A 21,771-nucleotide genomic window follows, 5' to 3' on the forward strand; every position below is an offset into this window, starting at 1 on the left:
AGCCCAGAGATGAGGAGCAGTCCGCCAGCTGCTAGCCTCATAATTTTGTTTTCTTTATTGTCCTTCATTGCTTCAATGAACAGAACTTGCAAGAAATGGTGAAAAATACTTGCTTTTGTCCAGTTGGAAAAAGCTGGCATTCAGTAAACTAATTTAGTTCAAGACAGTGATCAGATCTCTTTCCTAAGGATGAATACATATTTGTAAAAACTGAGCAGTCAGTTATGTGTCATGATTATTCATAAGAGTGTAAACCAGTCCTGTTAACTCCAAAAAGCCATTAAAAAAAAAAAGGTCCAGATAATATGAGTTCATCCTTTCATGCGTTTTAGGCCCTACAACTACTTTCAATGCCTCTGCGAATGCCTTTATTGAAAGCATATTTGCCAAATCCAGCGTCCACGCAAAAAGTTAAGAGTATCCCCCTACTCTCCATTCAATCTTCAAATCTCCTTGGTGCCTCTCTCCCGCCTACCCTCGAATCACCGCACAAGGGTGATTCCCGGCACTCCACCCTGAGGTCCCCGCCTAGGTCCACGTACCAGAGCCCCGGCAGGAGACCCGCGGCCCGTCCCGACCAGCCCGCCCGCGGGGCGCAGGGGCCTGTAGGTGTGTCCCGCGCGCTCCGCCGCTCGGTCAGTCGCCCGCCAGACCACTAGCCCCTCCGTCGGGCCGAGAATCTGACCTGTCCCGCTCCCACCGAGCCCTTGCCGACCGGTAGTCTCCCTTCTCAACTCCGAGCCTCGGGGCCCGGCTTACCTCGGTCAGGAAGCCCCCTTCACCTACACGCAGCGGAGAAGCGCCCAAGCAACAACGTCTGCACCCAAACCCAGTCCTCAGAACCGCAGACGTGGCCCTGCGTGGCTTCCGGCTCGTCGCCACGCCCCCTGGCCAATCACGGCAGAGGACTATCCGCCAGCCCCGCCCCCGCCTCGCCGCAGGTCGCGCGCAGCTGGCGCCTGAGGAACTGCGGCTGCGGTTCCGAGCGGGGTCTGGGGCTGTTACCATTGAGTGACCAGAAAGGGTGAGGCCCCCGCGGTGGCCCGGGGGTTGGGGCCGAGGGTCGCGGGCCCTCAGAGCACTGCGGCCGCGGAGGCACAGCCTCCGCCTCCAAATCCGGGCCTCTGGGGGCGGCAGGCCCTGCGTTCCTGGGAAGCCGGGGTTCCTAGTGGTCTTGGCTAGGGGCGGGGGTGGGGAATCAGCCCCGTCGCTGGGCCTCGGACAGGGCGACCTCGCCCACAGTGAGCGCCGCCGGCGGCCCGCATCCCCCTCTCCGACGTCGAGGTCATCTCCCAAACCTTTGAATCTGGGAAGCCTTCTCCGGCTGCCGTCTCCCCGGGTACCCCCTTCCCCCAGCTCACTGTAAACATCTTTTATTTAATGACCTCTGAGACACCCCCTACCCTTATCCTGGGTCCCTCGGGGCAGAGGCCAGTGAATCGTAAACGTCCGGAGCCCTGGAATGCGGCCCAAGCGAAAAGGCCACCGCGGTGTTGGGGGGGGGCGGTCCGCGAGTCCAGGACCGAGGGGTGGCGACTGGCGCTGGGGAACTCGGAGCCCATCCTGCTGGCACTGCGGCCTCTCTCGCCGCAGCGTCTGGCTCCGCCCAAGCCCGAGCCCCGGGTGGGATTGGAAGCCGGGCCCCAGCCTTTCCCAGAATTCAGGCTTGCAGAGCGTCTGCAGGTGTCTGCCTGCCACCTGCAGCGGGACAGTTCCAAACACCTGTTGAAAGTGCAGATTCCCCTATCTAGTGCGGGGTGCGGGAGGCGGGAACCCGGAGCCCGGGTACGCAGAATATGGGTTTTTACGGAGTGTTTTAGAGGATGTTGTGCATACTAGATTTTGGAGTCAGGAAATAAAGAAGAGTGCAAGTGTCTGGTTTGTGCCCCTAGCTCTCGGTGCAAAGCGTTCCTGCAGAATTGCTTCCACGTAAAGGGACCTTCGGGAAATTTCGCTGGATACCGGCTGGCATTGACAAACCCAGCGTCCCTGAGCCTTGTGAGGTTTCCAGGCAGGCTGATTGCGAGGCAACATGTCTGCTTCGGTGAAAGAAAGCCTTCAGCTTCAGCTACTGGAGATGGAAATGCTGTTTTCTATGTTTCCTAACCAAGGAGAAGTAAAACTTGAAGATGTAAATGCCCTGACGAATATAAAGAGGTATTTGGAAGGCACAAGGGAGGCGCTGCCACCAAAAATCGAATTTGTAATTACACTCCAGATTGAAGAGCCCAAGGTAGGTACCCTGATTTAAGTGTTTGCCAGGTGCCCAGTTTTTAATTGAAACATCTAGAACATGAGCTTTCTGTCAAGGAAAGATAGAAATATTCCAGGTGCATATTTCCTTGTTTGAAAGATACGGAATGCTCTATAAATTGTCTTCAGTAAATATCTTTAATTTTATGTAAACATATACACCTTTTTAACAAATATACCTGGAGTTTTTATTGACGCTATCTTGCAGTCTTATGCCATTATTATTTTGTTCACCCATCCAGTTGGACTACCTTTCACATGTATCATGATTTTCATAAATCTAAATATCTCCTGTAACATAACTGTCTTTTAAGGAGTGAATGAGTGGATTTTTTGATGGCACCATAACACAGAAAGCAAATATGGATGGAAAAATCTAAAGACTAAAAATGAATTTACCTCCATCTTCTGATCCATTTATCTCCAGCAACATTAGCATAGCATAGGTAATACGTGGACTGGGCATTTGAGAACCACTGTTGTAGCTATTTCCTACTCATCCTTCAGTTGTTATTCCCTCAGAGGAGACTTTCTGGTTCTCCAGACTGGATTCTGTCCCGCTGGTTACACACTTCAATGGAACCCTCCACTTTTCCATGGTAATGCTTTTCACAATTGAAATTAAATACTTGCTATATGTAATTATTTGTTTAATGTGTGTCTCCTTCACTAGGCCCTGGACTTCATGAAGGGCAAAAATAGTGTCTGGTTTATTCACTTTTTTATCCCAGCACAAGGGCACCTGGCACACGTAGTTGTTCAATAAATATTGAAATAATGCATAAAAGGAAGCAATCATGTATGTAAAGTACCTGGTACATTTAATAGTAGCAATAACATTTCTCAAAATCATGCAGTTGCTATTGATAAACTAGCTTATGTGATGTTATGGTATTTAAATCTATTTGATTTTCATTTTAAGGTGAAAATTGATTTGCAAGTGACCATGCCTCACAGCTACCCCTATGTAGCATTGCAGCTGTTTGGACGGTCATCTGAACTTGACAGACATCAGCAGCTACTTCTCAACAAAGGTCTCACTTCTTACATAGGGACTTTTGATCCAGGTGAGCTCTGTGTATGTGCAGCAATCCAGTGGCTACAGGACAACAGTGCATCTTATTTCCTGAACAGAAAGCTTGTATATGAACCATCTACACAAGCAAAGCCAGTCAAGAACACATTCCTCCGAATGTGGATCTACAGTCACCATATATATCAGCAGGACCTAAGGAAAAAGATTTTGGATGTTGGGAAAAGGTTAGATGTGACTGGATTTTGCATGACAGGAAAGCCTGGTATAATCTGTGTGGAGGGTTTCAAAGAGCACTGTGAGGAGTTCTGGCACACAATTAGGTACCCCAATTGGAAGCACATTTCCTGTAAGCATGCTGAAAGCGTGGAGACAGAAGGAAATGGTGAGGACCTGCGCCTTTTCCATTCTTTTGAAGAGTTACTCCTTGAGGCTCATGGTGACTATGGATTAAGGAATGACTATCACATGAATCTGGGCCAATTCTTAGAATTTCTCAAGAAGCACAAAAGTGAGCATGTTTTTCAGATACTATTTGGTATTGAAAGCAAAAGTTCAGACTCATAAAAAGCGATTAAGAGGCCTATGCCTGTAATTTCACTAAGTCAGTATTTCTGTTAATAAGACCAAATTAAAAAGGCTAGTGGCTGTGTAGCATCCTCAGTGCAAAACCCAGCTCCAGAATTTTCACCTGGTAACGAATTTCAACTGACAGTGAAATGAATAGGCCTTTAAACTTTATAACATTGCAATTGTGATGTTATCTCTAGGTTTTTGTGTGAAGTCATTCAAAAACTATTTCATTGTAAATTAATAAAAACAATCCATTTAACTTGTGAAGCTGATTTGATTGAAGAGGAATCCAAAGCCCATAACTAACATCAAAAATCAAACTGCAATTATGAATTGAGAAATATGAATAGCATTTGTTTCACATTGCTAGCACACATGTGACACACCCACTTGTCTTTCATTATTGGAAATCTAAATCAAGTTTAAAATGAGAACAGGAAGGACATGTTTACTTCCTTTTTTGAGACGGTGCGATCTCGGCTCACTGCATCCTCAGCTTCCCAGGTTCAAGCGATTCTCCTGCCTCAGCCTCCCAAGTAGCTGGGACTACAGGCGTGCGCCACCACGCCCAGCTAATTGTTATATTTTTAGTAGAGACAGGGTTTCATCATGTTGGCTAGGATGGTCTCAATCTCTTAACCTCGTGATCTGCCTGCCTCGGCCTTCCAAAGTGCTGGGATTACAGGTGTGAGCCACCGCGCCCAGCCCGTTTACTTCATTTCTTACTTTAAACTCCTATTTCGAGTGTTTTAGTAAAACTAGATCCTAATAGCAGTGGCAAAGGACTCATAGACATGAAGTCCCACGAGTTAAAAGATGACACACAATGCTATGTGTTCTGGCTGTTTATATCAGTTCATGATACTAGCAATCCTGATACCAGTATTAGTTTAATTCTTATCCAGAAAAGATAAACACATGGTTCCTTGTCTACAAAGTATTCGCCTGTTTCAATCCAACCTTTGCCTGTGTGCCAGTATGCATTACTATAAAGGGCAAGAGACTGTTGAGGGGACCAGTGTGGATATCTGCATCATTACCTTATTGGGAAAAAAAAAATCTAATTCTACAGTCCGATGATGTTACTGCCATCTCCTCTGAAAATTCCAAGCTCCACAGGCTTCACCAGGCTTTTCAAAATGAGAGTTTATTTTAATGATTAAAAACCGCTATTTAAGTAGCTCTTGCCAAGCCTTTTCATTACCAGGTCTCCATCCCTCCCCAAGTATTTCTGCGAGTCTCATGTGCTAAGAGATGTCTTGAGCAGCCTCTGCAGCTTTCCGTGTTTCTGTGGTCAGCTACTGCTGCCCTTTCCCGGGAGGCATTCCATTCTCCTACTGGGTCCTCTCAAGATGCCAAAGCTTGGTGCTGGGATTTAGGAACACATCCTGTTAGATGTCAGACAGTGCTGCTTGTGCTGGGGAGCCTACAGAACTTCTGATGAAACTACCATCTGGTTTTACCCTCTGTGCCGTGGATGCAGACGTGTCCTTGGGCTACAGAGAGGACATGATGGAGCAGGAGGCCCTATCCCAAGGAGGTGTTAGAACTGGGTCCACTTTGTACTGCCTCTTTCTTCTTAGGTCACAATGAGTGTCCTCTCAGGGCACAACTCAGATCTTCAACCCATGGCTCGCTGTAGGCCTGCCCCGCCAGGTCCTCCAGCTTGCCATTCATGTTTCCATCCTAGCCTTGGTTGTGCTGGAACTCAGGCTGGAGCCTGACACTTTGCCTATATGCAAAGGGAAGAAATAGGACTTACATTGCCAAGGAATCACTTCTTAATGTTTGCCAGCACTAAAAACAACAAAGTATAGGAATCTTTTTCCCCCACAGTCTCCACAAAGCTATCAATAAGTATAATTCGCATTTACAAGTTTTAGGCCTTCAACAGATGTAACTCCATCCAAATGAATCAATATGTGCCATCAACCTACCTTATAGAGGTGTTTTTCCTGATTACATGAGCAAAAGTAGCTACAGAAAGATGGGTGTAAAGAAAAGGCAATAAATTCTAGGTTATGAACTCTACTGCTTCTGGAGCTATTTCTGAGATTTTTCAGAACCTACTTTTTTATAAATAAGTCTAATTTGAGCATTCTGCAATACTTTTTTTCCTATCAGGAAAACTAATGCAGATAGTATTATGGGGACGTGTAGGTTTTATAGAAAAAAAAAGTACATGTATAATTCAAAACTCAACTTTGTATGTATAGGAGTCTGCTGGTTGTTTGCACAGCCTGATATGAGCACATAATAAAAGTCCGTCATTCCCCAACCCCCTCCCCCTACACACACAGCTTATTTTGGGAAACTGCCCCTTCCCTGTGTGATTTGGGAAGAGAAAGTGATAGGAATCAAGTTGTCCTCTGGCAGCCTCCTGGAGAGATGGCTGTGAGCTCTTGCTGCTTAAACCTCTAGTGCCACCCTCATTTCTGACCTACTGAATGCTCAGCTGTTTGGCATTTCCTTTGAATGACCCAGCATCTTCCCTTTTGTTGTCGGAAATCAGAATCAGTCTCTATTGCTTGTAACTTAAGAATCTGGATATTCTGTTTATTATATTCTTAAATGGTTATTTGGAAAATGTGCTCATTTATAAAAGTTACAGTGTCTTTTTAAAGTTTGCTGAAGTAAATGAAGCATATCGTCAAGTATGTTCTTTGCTTTTCATTCCTTACTGGTCTATTATGTGTTAGGCTAAGAGCTGAGGACACCTGCATAGTGAATTGAGTAGGCCAGATGAGTTGGCAGACCACAACACAGGGACCTCTAAAACATTCCTTATTAAATCAAACATACATTGCCTGTGAACTTGAGCGTTCACATATAACTCCTTACATGCCATCCATCCCCTCTCAGAACCTGAGAAGGTTCTGATGGTGTCTGTCTGCAGCCTTCATGGAACCCTTTTGAACAGGTTTTTTTCACTTGCTTTTATCTCAAGTAGCCCAGTAGTAAGTCAAAAGAATAGTTATTGTCTGAAGAGGGCACAGTGTTGCTCACACTTCCTGGTTTTATACATAATCCTGATTTGCCACAGAAACTCTGAGCCCATTGGCTTTCCCTCATAAGGTCCACATGGTGGAACTAATTTCACCATAGCCTGGACCAGCTAGAGAGACCTCTCTTTCTGATCCCAGTCAAAACTAGATGCATTTGGGTCAACCCCCGAATGAATTTGAGCAGGGTACACAGAATTTAAGTAAGCCCACTGTATTAGCTCATTCTTATGCTGCTAATAAAGACATACCCGAGACTGGGTAGTTTATAAAGGAAAGAGGTTTAATGGACTCACAGTTCCACATGGCTAGGGAGGCCTCACAATCACAGCAGAAGACGAAGGAAGAGCATAGGGATATGTTACATAGGGGCAGGCAAGAGATCTTGTGTAGGGGAACTCCCCTTTATGAAGCCACCAGATCTCGTGACACTTATTCACTACCACGAGAAGTATGGGGTAAACCACCCCCATGATTCAATTATCTCCACCTGGTCCTGTCCTTGACACATGGGGATTATTACTATTCAAGGTGAGATCTGGATAGGGGCACAGCCAAACCATATCACCCACCAAACCCTGGGAGTTCTCCTTAGTTATAGAAGGAACAAAGTACACAATTTGTTCCTCACAATGAAGGGGAAATCCCAGCATGTACCAGACACTGGACTTCTACAAAACTTGGCTGCAGGCTCTGTGCTTTCATGGGATTTATCGTTCACCCTCTGGGATGACACATCTTACTAGGCATCCAGGAAACATGACTCCATTCTCCAAGTCCAATCAGAATATCACCTGGAGGCATACAGCATGCTGCCCTGTATAGTGGTAAGCTGATCAAAGGTCTGATATCGAGACTGATATTCTGACATAGAAAGTTAATGTAATGTTGGAAAAAGACAATCTACATTGCTGCTTACTGAGATAAAGAAAATGCTTCAAGTGGTCTTTACTTACTGGAATAAAGGAAAAACAAAAAAGCATTGACCAAATCAGTAGCCAGCTACTTTCTGATTTGCTCCAAGAAAAAAGAACTTATATGACAGCAGCTGCAGTTGGAATCACCATCTGCTTAAGTTTCGGAATATGTGCAGCCATTCTATTTTTTTGAGACGGAGTCTTGCTCTCTCGCTCTGTCACTCAGGGTGGAGTGCAGTGGCCCAATTTCAGCTCAAAGCAAACTCTGCCTCCCGGATTCAAGTGATTCTCATGCCTCAGCCTCCCAAGTAGATGGGATTACAGGTGTATGCCACCACGCCTGGCTAATTTTTGTATTTTTAGTAGAGATGGTTTTTCGCCATGTTGGCCAGGCTGGTCTCGAATCCTGGCCTCAAGTGATCTGCCCATCTCAGCCTCCCAAAGTGCTGGGATTACGGGTGTGAGCCACTGAGCCCAGCCTGTGAAGTCATTCTTAGAGACCCATCTGTCTCCTCCTACATATGCCAAAGATCATGCTAAAGCAAGATGTGATAAGAATCACACTCCTGCTGCTTTCAAAGCTTTTGATGGTGGGACTCATCTCTGCAAATCTCTTCATACTTCCTGAGAGAATAACCCTCTTTTTATGGATCAGGGATCCAATGTGGGTATATTGCCACAGAGGATGAAGAAATAAATTATAACTCTTTACTGGAAAAATAAGTGGGGGATGGGTTTATTCCTATAGCATATACTTTGTTCTATAGACCACAGTGGTTTCAGAGACCCGAGAAATTTATATTTGTTCAGAGCTGTTCCCAGATGACCTCCAAAAGGCCTAATAGTTTTTCCTTTCTGCAGTGCATTGTTATCTTAGCAAATGGGAGCCTCAAAAAAGATTTTGGAAACATTTATGATATAATTACAGAGTTCTGCATCTTTAGGGGTCTTTCATTCATATCTGTTTGTGGCAATTTGGTGACACTGTATCTTGGTGGCTCCAGTCAGGCTTTTCTGCTATTGTTATATATATCAAGTGGGGCGTATGTTGTTGCTAATGTATTTGGTCCTAGGCCAGGCTGGGATATAGCTGGTATGTACTGGCATGGCTGTATCAATTTTATACAATGGTATCAATTTTTCTTGGTTAGTATGTATGCTGCCTCATTAATTTTTTGAACAGCATTTCAGGCCAGGAGGCCCCGTGTTATCCACAACCAAGGTTTCTGTGGGCTGAACTCTTGATTACACTGGACCTCCTCCTATTACAATCACTGTTTTCACCTTGTCTCCAGTTGTTAATTGCTACTAAATGCTATTAAGCCTGTACCAAACCCAAGAGTCTGATTTCTCCATTGAAATCAGGAAAGCCTTTTAACCATAACATTTTCCCAAGCCTTCCTAGCTTAAAGAGAAGTATCATTAAAATGCTTTTCATGGATGTTGGTACTCCCCTCACCAGTGTTATTTCTCTCAAGGCCTTAGTGAAAGGAGGGTCACTGATAGGTCCTCCAAGGAGACTTAGGAGATCAATAGATTAGGACAGTCATATTGCACACAACAATTCCACTCCAACATTCCTATCTTTGTAAATATTTGAATGGCTTTATATTATTTAAGGAATGTTTGCATTCTCAATTTCATTTAATGTGGACCCTTATTAAGTTCATGTTTCACTCAACTAACTGAACCAACAAGTAGAATCACCCCCAGCTGCTCAAGGCAGCGCACAGAATCCAGAATCTGTGGCAAGTGTACCCTATCATCATTTCTGCCTTATCCAAAATTACAGTTCTCCTTGTGAGTGTAACGTTCTGAGAATCCCACACATTTTTCTCTGGGCTTTTGCCAATATATGTGAGCAGAGTCTAGAATTTTTTTGGCGTAAGTCTCCTCCTTCTGGATTTGCCTTTTAAATTACTAGCCACCACAGCCCTTCTCATGCTGGAATCTGATTTGGGGTGTACGGAAATAATGTGAATAATGGAGGAGGAGCGTAGGCCTCCCTTTACAATTGGTTTCTCTTTACAAGGTAATTATTACCTCAGGTGAGGTCATTACAGGATCTTCTAGCAAGGCAGTAACAACTTCTTTAGACGGGAAGAGATCCTGCTTTGATTAGCAAAGGAGAACATGTCAACTATCCCAGTTTTCCTGGGACTGAGGGGTTTCCTGGGACACAGGACTTTCACTTCTGAAACCTGGACTATTGTTCTCCCTAGTTTAGGATATTATGAGTCCTCCAAATCCCCTTCCCCATTCCAAATCAAGGTCCTACTGTTTCTTGGTCAATACTCTAAGTTTGACATAAGAGGCCTAATGAGGATGTCAGTTTAACTCAGGGTATTAATATAATTTGGCAAGCAGCAAGATTAAGTATGACCATGGTTTTCAATTATTTCAGCATTATAACTAGAAAGAGAGAAAATATGTTGTTAGCAAAAACATGGGGCTTTTTCTGGTTTTTAGATTGAGAATTCAGTCTAAAATTTTTGAGCTGAGGATTTCAGACTCAAGCCTAAATTATCTTTCTTTATGTATCCATCTCTGCTAGAAGCAACCACCGCAACTCACAGTCCTAGAATTCCTTGTCCTTTACACTGTATTATGGCAGCAGCCATCTGATCCACCTAAACCTTCCCTTCCTTAGATAATATATCCCATTTTACCTCATAGTTGTGTTTATGAGGTCCCAAACATATTTTGCTACATTGATTTTCATTAACTTTATATTTTTACCATTCATACCTAGGTCTCTAATCGATCTGGAGTCTACCTTTTCACATAGTGTAAGGTAGGGTTCTAGTTTTAATTTTCTCCATGTTGTGGGCCAGTTTTTCCAGTCCTTTTACCAAGCATTCTGTTCTTTATCTATTGATTTTTGTGCTAGCTTGCCGTATTAGTCCGTTCTCACGCTACTAATAAAGACATATCCGAGACTAGGTAATTTATAAAGGAAAAGAGGTTTAATTGACTCACAGTTCAGCATGGCGGGGACGTCTCAGGAAACTTACGATCATGGAGGAGGGGGAAGCAAATATGTTCTTCTTCACATGGCAGCAGCAAGGAGAAGTGCAGAGCGAAGTGGGGGAAAAACCCCTTATAAAACTATCAGATCTTGTGAGAACTCACTCACTGTCATGAGAACGGCATGGAGGTAACTGCTCCCATGATTCAATTACCTCCCACCTGTCCTTCCCAGGCCATGTGGGGATTATGGGAACTACAATTCAAGATGAGATTTGGGTGGGGACACAGCCAAACTGTATCACTTGGTAACTCATATTCCTGTGAGTTTCCTGTTCCATTCCATTGTCCTGTATATTCTCATGACTTTGATGTATATGCAACTATCTAAAGCGTAATTCCCCCTTTGCTTTTCTGTTACAAATTGACTTAATTTTTTTTTTCTTTCTTTCTGAGACAGAGTCTTGCTCTGTCACCCAGGCTGGAGTGCAGTGGTGTGATCTCAGCTCACTACAACCTCCGCTTTCCAGGTTCAAGTGATTCTCCAGGCTCAGCCTCCAGGGTAGCTGGGCCACCATACCCAACTAATTTGTTGTTGTTGTTGTTGTTGTTGTTTAGTGGAGACAGGGTTCCACCACGTTGGCCAGGCTGGTCTTGAACTTCTGACCTCCCAAAGTGCTGGGATTACAGGTGTGAGACACTGTGCCTGGCCACAAATTGACTTAATTATTTATGGGTCATTATTTTTCAATTATGAAGAGAGGTGAGTTAAAATATCCAGCTATTATGGTGAATGTGTATATTTTACCATTTATTTCTGCCATTGTTTTCCATATATTTTGAAGCTGTTTTATTAAAAACATAGAAAGAATTGTGTCTTTTAATGACTGACCCATTTATCACTATCTCTACTAATATGCCTTGCCTTGAAGTGTGCTTCTCTTATATTAATAGAGCTACAGCAGCTTTCTTGGGCTTACTCTTTGTATGAGATATCTTTTGCCATCCTTTTACTGTCAAACTTTTTGTGTCATTATATTTAAAGTATGTCTCTTATAAACAGCATATAATTGTAGGCTGGGAATGGTGCCTCATGCCTATAATCCCAGCAGTTTGGGAGGCTGAGGCAGGAGGATCACTTGCCCTCAGGAACTTGAGACCAGCTTGGGCAATATAGTGAAATTTCATCTCTATAATAACAATAAAAATATATATAAACAGCATATAATTGGAGCTTTAAAAAAATCCAATCTGACAATTTTTGCTATTAGAGTGTTTAGTTCACTTACATTTAACATAATTACCAGCAAAGTTGGGTTTATGTCTACCATCTTGCTATTAGTTTTATATTTATCCCAGGAGTTAAGCTCTTACGTTCTTTGTTCCTCCTTTATCTTTCTTTTGCATTAATCAAGTATTTCAGAGTTATTCTATTTCTTCCATTAGCTTTTTTTTTTTTTTTTTTTTTTTTTTTGAGACAGAGTTTCACTCTTGTTGCCCAGGCTGCAGTGCAATAGTACAATTTCGGCTCGCTGCAACCACCACCTCCTGGGTTCAAACAATTCGCCTGTCTCAGCCTCCCAAGTAGTTGGGATTACAGGCACCTGCCACCACACCTGGATAATTTTGTATTTTTAGTAGAGATGGGGTTTCACCATGTTGGGCTGGCCTCAAACTCCTGACCTCAGGTGATCCACCCACCTCGGCCTCCCAATGTGTTGGGATCACAAGTGTGAGCCACAGCGTCTGGCCTATTAGCTTTTAAACTGTATGTTTTTTGTATTATTTTTAGTGTTTTAGAGGTTATAATATTCTTCCTTAATTTATTACTATATTCCTTGAATTCTTGCAATACATTTTAAATTGTTAGGTTCCTAGATTGGTCATGAAGTGGTATATTACTTGCTACAGTATTCCTTTTATAATGGATGTACCATTTCATGAATAATGTATAAAACATACAGTAGTATACTTCCATTATTAATCCCCCTTCCACCCCTTGTCCTACTCTAGCCATACATTTTACTTCTACATATTTTATAAACCCCACATACATTGTTATTTGTATTAGTCAATAGTCTTATATGAATTTTAAAACAGTATTTTATATTCTCACACATCCACCTTTTCTGGTGCTTTTCTTTTCTTTCTTTCTTTCTTTTTTTTTTTTTTGAGACAGAGTTTTGCTCTGTTGCCCGGGCTGGAGTGCAGTGGTGCAATCTCGGCTCACTGCAACCTCCGCCTCCCAGGTTCAAGCAATTCTTCTGCCTCAGCCTCCCAAGTAGCTCGGAGGATAGGTACCTGCCACCATGCCCGGCTAATTTTTTTTTTTCTTTTTTGGTATTTTTAGTAGAGACGGGGGTTTCACCGTGTTAGCCAGGATGGTCTCAATCTCCTGACCTCATGATCAGCCCACCTTGGCCTCCCAAAGTGCTAGGATTCAGGCATGAGTCACCGGGCCCAACTCTTTCTGGTGCTTTTCATTTTTTCCCACAGATGCACGTTTCCATCTAGGATCATTTTCCCTCAGACTGAAGAACTTCCTTTAGTACTTCTAGCAGTGTAGGTCTGCAGGCCATGAATTAGCTCAGATTTCATTAGTCTGAAATGTCTCTATTTGCCTTAATTTCTGAAGGATATTTTCTCTAGGTATAGAATGCTAAGTTTTAGACTGGGCGCGGTGGCTCACGCCTGTAATCCCAGCATTTTGGGAGGCCGAGGTGGGTGGATCACTAGGTCAGGAGATTGAGACCATCCTGGCTAACACGGTGAAAACCTGTCTCTACTAAAAATACAAAAAAAAAAACCAAATTAGCCAGGCATGGTGGTGGGTGCCTGTAGTCCCACTACTTGGGAGGCTGAGGCAGGAGAATTGCTTGAACCCAGGAGGTGGAGGTTGCAGTGAGCTGAGATCGCGCCACTGCACTCCAGCCTGGGCGACAAAGCGAGACTCCGTCTGGAAAAAAAAAAAAAAGAATGCTAAATTTTATTCTTTTGGCACATTAAAAATGTCTATTATCTCATTTTTCTGCCGAGATGTTGGCTGTCATTCTTATTGTACTTCTGAAGGCATTGTATACCTATTTCATTTGGCTGCTTTTAAGATTTTTCTGTTTATTTTTGATATGCAATTTGATTATGATATCCCTAGGTATGGTGTCCTTTGTATTGATCCTACTTGGGGCTTGCTAGCTCTATCAGTTGATGCTTTTCATTAATTTGAGAAAATTTCTTTCCATTATCTCTTCAAATATTTGTACTCCAGTATCTCTTCTTTCCTTACAGGACCCAGTAGCACGTATATTAGACCACCTCATTTTAGCCAACATCTCTCTCTCTCTTTTCCTTTCTTGCTCTCTCTTTATGCTTCCATTTGGAAATTTTCTGTTTATGTTAGACAAAAACCATAGGATTATCTCAACAGGTGCAGAAAAGGCTTTCAATATAACTCAACATACCTTCATATTAAAAACTCTCAGTAAACTAGATATTAAAGGAACATACCTCAAAATAATAAGAGCCCTCTATGACAAACCCACAGCCAACATCATACTGAATAGGCAAAAGCTGGAAGCGTTCTTCTTGAAAACCAGCACAAGACAAGGATGCTGTCCCTCACCACTCCTATTCAAGATAGTATTGGAAGTCCTGGCCAAAGCAATCAGGCAAAAGAAAGAAATGAAGGGCATCCACATATGAAGAGAGGAAGTCAAACTATTCCTGTTTGCAGAGGACATGATTCTATATCTAGAAAACCACATAGTCTTGGCCCAAAAGCTCCTTCAGCTGATAAGCAACTTCAGCCAAGTTTCAGGATGCAAAATCAATGTACAAAAATCACTAGCATACCTAGGCACCACCAACAGCCAAGCCAAGAGCCAAATCAGGAATGCAATCCCATTCACAATTGCTGCAAAAAGAATACAATACCTAGGAACACAGCTAATCAGAGAAGTGAAAGATCTCTACAAGGAGAACTAAAAAATACTGCTCAAATAAATCAGAGAAGACAAAAACAAACGGAAAAGCATCCCATGCTCAAAGATCAGAAGAATCAATAGCATTAAAATGACCATATTGTCCAAAGCAATTTACATATTCAATAATATTCTGATCAAACTACCAATGACATTCTTGACAGAACTAGAAAGTACTATTTTAAAATTCACATGGAACCAAAACAGAGCCCGAATAGCCAAGGTAATACAAAGCAAAAAATAAAGTTGGAGGGATCACATTACCCAACTTCAAACTATATCACAGGGCTACAGTAACCAAAACAGCATGGTACTGGTACAAAAACAGACACATAGTCCAATGGAACAGAACAGAGAACCCAGAAATAAGGCCATACACTTATGACCATCTGGTCTTTGACAAAGCTAACAAAAGCAAGCAATGGAGAAAAGACTCCCTATTCAATAAATGGTGTTGGGATAACTGGCTAGCCATATGTAGAAGGTTGAAGCTGGACCCCTTCCTTATACCATATACAAAAATCAACTCAAGGTGGATTGAAGACTTAAATGTAAAATCCAAAACTATGAAAATCCTGGAAGACAACCTAGGCATTACCATCCTTGACATAGGAACAGGCAAAGATTTCATGACATAGGAACAGGCAAAGATTTCATGACAAAGACACCAAAAGCAACCGCAACAAAAGCAGAAATTGACAAACAAGATCTAATTAAATTTAGCTTCTGCACAGCAAAAGAAGCTATCAGCAGAGTAAAAGTAAACAGACAACCTACAGAATGGGAGAAAATATTTGCAAGCTATGCATCTGACAAAGGTCTAATATCCAGCATCTATATGGAACTTAAACAAATTTACAAGAAAAAAACAACCCTATCAAAAAGCGAGCAAAGGACATGATCTGACCCTTTTCAAAAGAAGACATACATGCGGCCAACACACATATGAAAAAAGGCTCAATATTACTGATCATTAGAAAAATGCAAATCAAAAACCATAATGAGATACAATTTCATTGTGACACCAGTGAGAATGACTTCATGACATTCTGGCTATTATTAAAAAGTCAAAAAAATAACAGATGTTGGCAAGGTTGTGGAGAAAAGGGAACACTTACACACTGTTGGTGAGAGTGCAAATTACTTCAACTATTGTAGAAAGCAGTATGGAGATTCCTCAAAGAGCTAAAAGTAGAACTACCATTCAACCCAGTAATCCTATTACTGGGTATATACTCAGAGGAATATAAATCAATCTGCCATACAGACATACATACACAAATGTTCACTGCAACACTATTCACAATACCAAAGACATGGAATCAACCTAAATGCCCATTAATGCCAGATCAGATAAAGAGAAGGTGGTAATATGAACTCCATAGAATACTATGCAGCCATAAAAAAAGAATGAGATCATGTCTTTTGTGGGAACATGGATGGAGCTGGAGGCTATTTTCCTTAGCAAACTAGCACAGGAACAGAAAACCAAATACCACATGTCCTTGCTTATAAGTGGGAACTAAATGATACGAACTCATGAACACAAAGAAGGGAACAACAGACACTGGGGTCTACTTGACAGTGGAGGGCGGGAGGAGGGAGAGAAGCAGAAAAAATAACTATTGGGTACTAGGCTTAATACCTGGGTGATGAAATAATCCATACAACAAACCCCCCATGACACAAGTTTACCTATATAATGAACCTTTGCATGTAACTCCAAACCTAAAATAAAAGTTAAAAAAATGTAGGTAATTTCTAATGACCTGCCTTTGAGGTCATTAATCTTTTCCTCTATGACCTCTAGTTGGCTGTTAAACCATCTGTCTGATGAATTCTTAATTTCAGATATTTTATTTTTTATATTTAGAATGTACATTTAATTCTTTAGATATTCTATTTTTGTGATAAAGTTATCTTTTTCCATTTTTCTTTTTGTCTAATTTTATTAACATTAATGTTATTATATTCTCTTCCCTGACATCTCCTTCTCACTATATAATTTATTTGTTCCATGTGTGCTCCAGTAGCATTTTACATTTCTTTGGTTAATAGCAAAGTGAGCGTTCTATAAAAAATTGTTAAATAATTTTCTTGTTCTGGGGCTGTGCTCCCTTCCTAATATGCATGGCTGGCTTATGAAGAGAGGCTGGCACAAATTAGTTTTTTATCTACTTTATTGAGGCATTATTTACCAAAATATTTTTGAGTAAACATTTCCCTCAGACTTCTACTTCACTTCTCTCATGGAGATGCAGTTTTACAGCTATTGGTATATAACTGTCTCTTCTAAACCTGCACTGTCCAATACAGTGTCACTCGCCAGATGTGGCTACTGAGACCTGTGGCTAGTCTGAACTGAATTAAAATGTAAGTGTAAAATATGTGCTGGATTTCGAAGAAAATATGAACAAAATAAACTATCTTAATAATTTTATGATGATTACATGTTGCAGTGGTAATATTTTGGATATATTGGTTTAAACAAAATATATTATTACCATGAATTCCACCTGTGTCTTTTTTTTATGATGCTACTACAAAATTTAAAATTACACATGGGACAGTGCTGTTCTAGACTGTAGCCTATGGAAAGGAGAACAAACTATAAAGAAAGATGAATATGGATGTAAAGCTTACTTTCTTCAGTTATTCTGTGGACTTGGCAAGTTACTTAAAATATCAACTTCATAAGGAAAGTGAGGGGACTACATTAAAATAATGTATGTGGGATACTTGACACCTAGTAAGTAACTATCTAATGCTTATTTCATTATCTTTCCCTGAGGACAAGGAAGTGGCTCACACATCACAGTGTCCAGAATATGTGATTACATATATATATTTTTTTTTTTCTGAGACAGAGTCTTACTCCATCCCCCAGGCTGGAGTGCAGTGGCATGATCTTGGTTCACTGCAACGTCCAGTGCAAGCGATTCTCGTGCCTCAGCCTCCCAAGTAGCTGGGATTACAGGCATGAGCCACCAAGCCCAGCTAATTTTTATAGTTTTTAGTAGAGATAGGGTTTCACCAGGTTGGCCAGGCTAGTCTTGAACTCCTGACCTCAGGTGATCTGCCTGTCTCAGCCTCCCAAAGTGCCAGGATTACAGGCGTGAGCCACTGTGCCCAGCCACATATGTTTTAAATGAATGATGTTTATACTGAAATTAGCAGTTATTAGAATATTTTAGAAATTCGTCACACATAATCATATGACCCCAAGACCAAGCATTACAATGTAACATTTTAAGAAAAAGGACAATTATTTTATATTTTTATTCATTCACCTTTTCTATGCTTTAATAAATCTTTTGCATAGGTAAACACATTTAGTCAGAGCTATAAGACAACATAGAAACAGACAAGAAATACACAGACATTCTGATTCTTCTCCAAATAACTATTTTGAGGAAACTCTTGACTATATGTTACCTTTAGAAATACCTTAACCTCTTCTGCTCATACCTAAAACAATTTGTGTAACCTTCAACTTTCAATAAAATCATTTTATAGTATAATTTATCTTGAATATCTTATACTCCTTAAAGCATTACTTCAAAAACAAAATTCTTCAAATAATTCTATAAATAAGTAGCAAATGTTATTGCACCTTAGCTTTATAATTTAAAATTTTTTCCATTACTTCAAACATTAGTTTCTAAAGTAAATTAATACAGTCTGGGCATATAACTACTCTTTCTCATAGAATGGTATTAGTCATCAAGATATTTTAATCTTATGTAAGGACATTTCTGATACTGGGAACTTAATTATAATACTTTCTCCAAATTCAGGCAAAAGCAAGATGATTATAACACAGTTAGCTCTTCATTACCTGAGTTAATTAAGAGGCCATTCTGGCAGGTAACTCCAGTAGGAACCTAACTTGTTGTCTTAAAGATCCTGAGATCTTTAAGAGGTCAGTTCCTCAGGCAGCCCTTTCTCAAGGATCTTAACTATATACTCTCCTTTCAGACCTTCTCACTGCTCAGGCTGTGCTGAACTGAAGGTGCCAACCTCGGGACAGGGGCCACAGTCCACAAAATCCCTGTAGCAACAGTATGGTAGCTGAAGGATGGGATGTTTGATCAAGGGGGAAAAAAGGTGATTTCAGGTGGGATTTCTGACTCAGGATCAAGGTAATAAGAGCTTTACTCTATGAGATGTAACAATGACAAAAGAATATTAAAATCTAAGGCTGCACAAGGCGCTGTAAACAGCAGTGATCTTTCTCTTAGAACTGTTAGAATTCCGTTGCACAAAAGAACATATATGATCTAGGACTGGAATAAAAATACTTGAGAAGTTATCTTTCTCTAGGCAACAAAGTAGTGTTATTTCTGCTTAGCAAAAGTTCACCTACGCCTAGATTCATTTCTAGCTTTTTTTTTTTGAAAAGTAGATTTTAACAAAATGGTCAACAAAATAATTATGAGTTTTAATGTTGGTTATGTCAATTTATTAGTAATTTTGGTCTTCCCATTAGTGTCCTGTATAAAAATGATGAGTTTCTCCGTAGTACGTACAACAGCTTTTAAAGAGAACGTAGGCAGAATAATTCAGACAGAAACCATAAATAACCAGAAGGCAAAGTGAAGCAAAATTGTCTCATGTGATGTTTATCCCAATTTATATCGATATTCTTCTATCAATTTTTAGACTGTTAAAGTAAAATCTTAATCTAAGTGTCTTATGAATCATTATAAAAGATTCCAACCTTTAAAAATTATGAAAGGTTTAAAGACCTCATTAATAGAGTTAGAAATGTTTGCTATTATCCTACTGGTCAACTTTGGTCTGTATTTTCTGCACCTCTTCAGGCCAAGAATAACAATCAGGTAGAATCTGGTCATAATCAGTACTATACATCTGGGAGCGGACAAATGCTTCTTTGTTTTGCGGTTCAGGATAAACTGTGGCTGTCTTTTCTTGGTATGCATCTTTCACAATCTAGATATAAGAAAAGAATATTAATTATTTTAATAAATAGAGGTAATCATGAGCCCATGTGAGTGGAAGTTTTTATCCATTTCAAAAACACTGTATCCTATGTTTGCAAAAACATTAAGTGTATTATAATAAAAGCACATATAAGCAATGAAGATATAAAATGAAAATGCAATTATAAATCATATAGTGAGAGAGAAAAATGACATCAGCAACTAAGGAAAGTGTGACCAGGTGAGACTGATTCAAGTACTATCACATCTGGATTTCTCAGAGAAGCCAGTGTTCAAAGTCTTGACATGACCTGACTGACAATTAACTTGAAATAAATACCTAAATAGTCCTGCTAAACTTGAACCTTGAATTTTCAAGAATCCCTATTCTCACCACAGCCTCCTACAAAATCTCTTCCTGTACCCCAGGGTCTCCTGATCTTGCTCAGCTAATCATCTAGACACCACAGTCAGGATGAGCACTCTTTGCCAGCGTCACAGATTCTCTGGTCATCACGCCCTGTGTTTCATGCATAATTCTAGTCCCTCGTCTGGGGACCCCTCAGAGCTGGCTTTCTCCTTTTGTGGCTGTGCATCCTAGAACGATGCAGTAAACTTTCTGTGGTGCTATATTTTTTTTCTAGTCTGCACATTATACTTTTTTCTCTCTTTACTTAAAACTTCCTCTTGTGGTTCCCAAAAAGCAATTCCAAACCTTCCCCCATCTTCAAGCTTCCATTTGACTCTCATCACTCACTGGAGAATCACATCATCATATCACATCATGGGAGAAAATTTCAACTACTCAGAGAAAATGACCTTAATTTCCCTTTTGACCAACTCAGACTATCTCCTCAGTGTCTTCATACATCTTCTCTTTCCCTACTTTCTTTAAATGGATTCTCTTCATCAAAATTAATCACTTCATATATACTATTTAATTCACACCAGTTTTTTTTTTTTTTTGAGATGGAGTCTTACTCTGTCACCCAGGTTGGAGTGCAGTGGCACGATCTCAGCTCACTGCAACCTCTGCCTCCTGGGTTCAAGCGATTCTCTGGCTGGCACAGTGGCTCATGCCTGTAATCCCAGCACTTTGGGAGGCCGAGGCAGGTGGATCACCTGAGGTCAGGAGTTCAAGACCAGCCTGACCAACATGGAGAAACCCCATCTCTACTAAAAATACAAAATTAGCCGGGTGTGGTGGTGCATGCCTGTAACCCTAGCTACTCGGGAGGCTGAGGCAAGAGAATCACTTGAACCCGGGAGGCAGAGGTTGCAGTGAGCCGAGATCACACCATTGTACTCTAGCCTGGGCAACAAGAGCAAAACTCCATCTCAAAAACGAAACAAAACAAAACAAAAAACAACAACAACAAAAAAACAAGCGATTCTCCTGCCTCAGCCTCCCAAGGGTTAACAGGCTCCTGCCACCACACCCGGCTAATTTCTGTACTTTTTTAGAAGAGAAGGGGTTTCGCCATGTTGGCCAGTCTGGTCTCAAACTCCTGACCTGAGGTGATCCACCTGCCTTGGCCTCCCGAAGTGCTGGGATTACAGGTGTGAGCCACCGTGCCCAGCCGAATTCACATCAGTTCTTAAAACAATATTTATATGACTGACTTATTTTGATAAGTCTGATTTCAAAGAATATCAGAATGATTATCTCATCTCAATGTAAAACTATGCATTTATGAACAATTAAGGTTATGAATACTGTGCTGTATTATGAAATGTCTATGAAAAAGCAGGAAACAATATGTATATTTCATAATTATAATAATGTTAGAAAATAAACAAACGAAAGACTCAAAACAAACACAGGAAAAAAAATAATACTTATATTAGAAAAATAGGATATTGGTTATTTTCCTTTTCTCTATTTGTTTTCCAAAGTGCCCATAATATGGTAGTATTACTTTTTAAACAGATTTATTGAGATATAATTCACACAAAATTCAAGCATTTTAAGTGTACAACTAAATTATTTTTGTAAATTTACTGAGCTGTGCAACAATATTACCACATTCAGTTTTAGAATATTTCCATCACCCCAAAAAGATCCCTCATGCCTACTTAAGATGGCTATGTTAATTTTATAATAAA

At 40.9% G+C, this 21,771-nt stretch overlaps 3 protein-coding genes across 28 annotated transcripts in view, besides 3 other annotated features; 1 reads left to right on the forward strand and 2 right to left on the reverse strand.

The window, feature by feature from the left end:
- Nucleotides 1-1,481, reverse strand: part of PGM3 (phosphoglucomutase 3) — a 45,196-nt gene extending 43,715 nt beyond the window's left edge. For 12 of the 17 annotated variants that reach the window (XR_007059270.1, XR_942480.3, XR_001743468.3 and 9 more), the window contains exon 1: nt 760-846. The gene's annotated coding sequence lies outside the window, so the exon portion shown is untranslated. Of the gene's footprint in view, nt 1-759; nt 847-1,403 lie in introns of those variants that run through there. The other 5 variants (XR_007059271.1, XR_007059272.1, XM_047418877.1 and 2 more) reach the window with 1 other exon arrangement.
- Nucleotides 497-566: a silencer, noted in NCBI's record as "silent region_17356". NCBI's record gives its function as "represses an Ori minimal core promoter by ATAC-STARR-seq in GM12878 lymphoblastoid cells {active_cell/tissue: GM12878}" and the evidence as "EXISTENCE:reporter gene assay evidence [ECO:0000049][PMID:35858748]".
- Nucleotides 809-1,308: an enhancer, noted in NCBI's record as "H3K27ac hESC enhancer chr6:83902947-83903446 (GRCh37/hg19 assembly coordinates)". NCBI's record gives its function as "activates a minimal SCP1, AML or CMV promoter by ChIP-STARR-seq in naive and primed H9 embryonic stem cells {active_cell/tissue: H9 hESC(naive and primed)}" and the evidence as "EXISTENCE:reporter gene assay evidence [ECO:0000049][PMID:30033119]".
- Nucleotides 867-1,236: a silencer, noted in NCBI's record as "silent region_17357". NCBI's record gives its function as "represses an Ori minimal core promoter by ATAC-STARR-seq in GM12878 lymphoblastoid cells {active_cell/tissue: GM12878}" and the evidence as "EXISTENCE:reporter gene assay evidence [ECO:0000049][PMID:35858748]".
- Nucleotides 938-6,516, forward strand: RWDD2A (RWD domain containing 2A). 10 transcript variants are annotated; one of them, NM_001322336.2, is made up of 4 exons: nt 938-1,024; nt 1,893-2,233; nt 2,761-2,852; nt 3,176-6,516. In NM_001322336.2, the coding sequence occupies exons 3-4, from the start codon at nt 2,850-2,852 to the stop codon at nt 3,851-3,853; spliced, it is 681 nt and encodes a 226-aa protein (NP_001309265.1). In that variant the 5' UTR covers nt 938-1,024; nt 1,893-2,233; nt 2,761-2,849; the 3' UTR covers nt 3,854-6,516. The 10 variants fall into 10 exon arrangements, with proteins under 10 accessions (NP_001309265.1, NP_001309266.1, NP_001309268.1 ...); NM_001322337.2 differs by having other exon boundaries at nt 2,776-2,852; NM_001322339.2 differs by having other exon boundaries at nt 2,112-2,233.
- Nucleotides 6,517-17,982: 11,466 nt separating this feature from the next.
- ME1 (malic enzyme 1) overlaps nt 17,983-21,771 on the reverse strand; it is a 220,650-nt gene continuing 216,861 nt past the window's right edge. The window contains exon 14 of the mRNA NM_002395.6: nt 17,983-19,675. Within this exon, the coding sequence (NP_002386.1) occupies nt 19,505-19,675 (171 nt within the window). The 3' untranslated portion in view covers nt 17,983-19,504. The remainder of the gene's footprint in view (nt 19,676-21,771) is intronic.

The sequence above is a fragment of the Homo sapiens genome, chromosome 6 (genome assembly GCF_000001405.40).
Source record: "Homo sapiens chromosome 6, GRCh38.p14 Primary Assembly".
Lineage (NCBI taxonomy): Eukaryota > Metazoa > Chordata > Mammalia > Primates > Hominidae > Homo > Homo sapiens.

Bases quoted from the DNA above. Each gene is read 5' to 3' on its own strand.
- RWDD2A (XM_047418134.1), top strand. From the start codon at position 2,033: ATGTCTGCTTCGGTGAAAGAAAGCCTTCAGCTTCAGCTACTGGAGATG. The intron at 2,234-3,175 runs GTAGGTACCCTG...TTTCATTTTAAG, and splicing joins TCCAGATTGAAGAGCCCAAG to GTGAAAATTGATTTGCAAGT.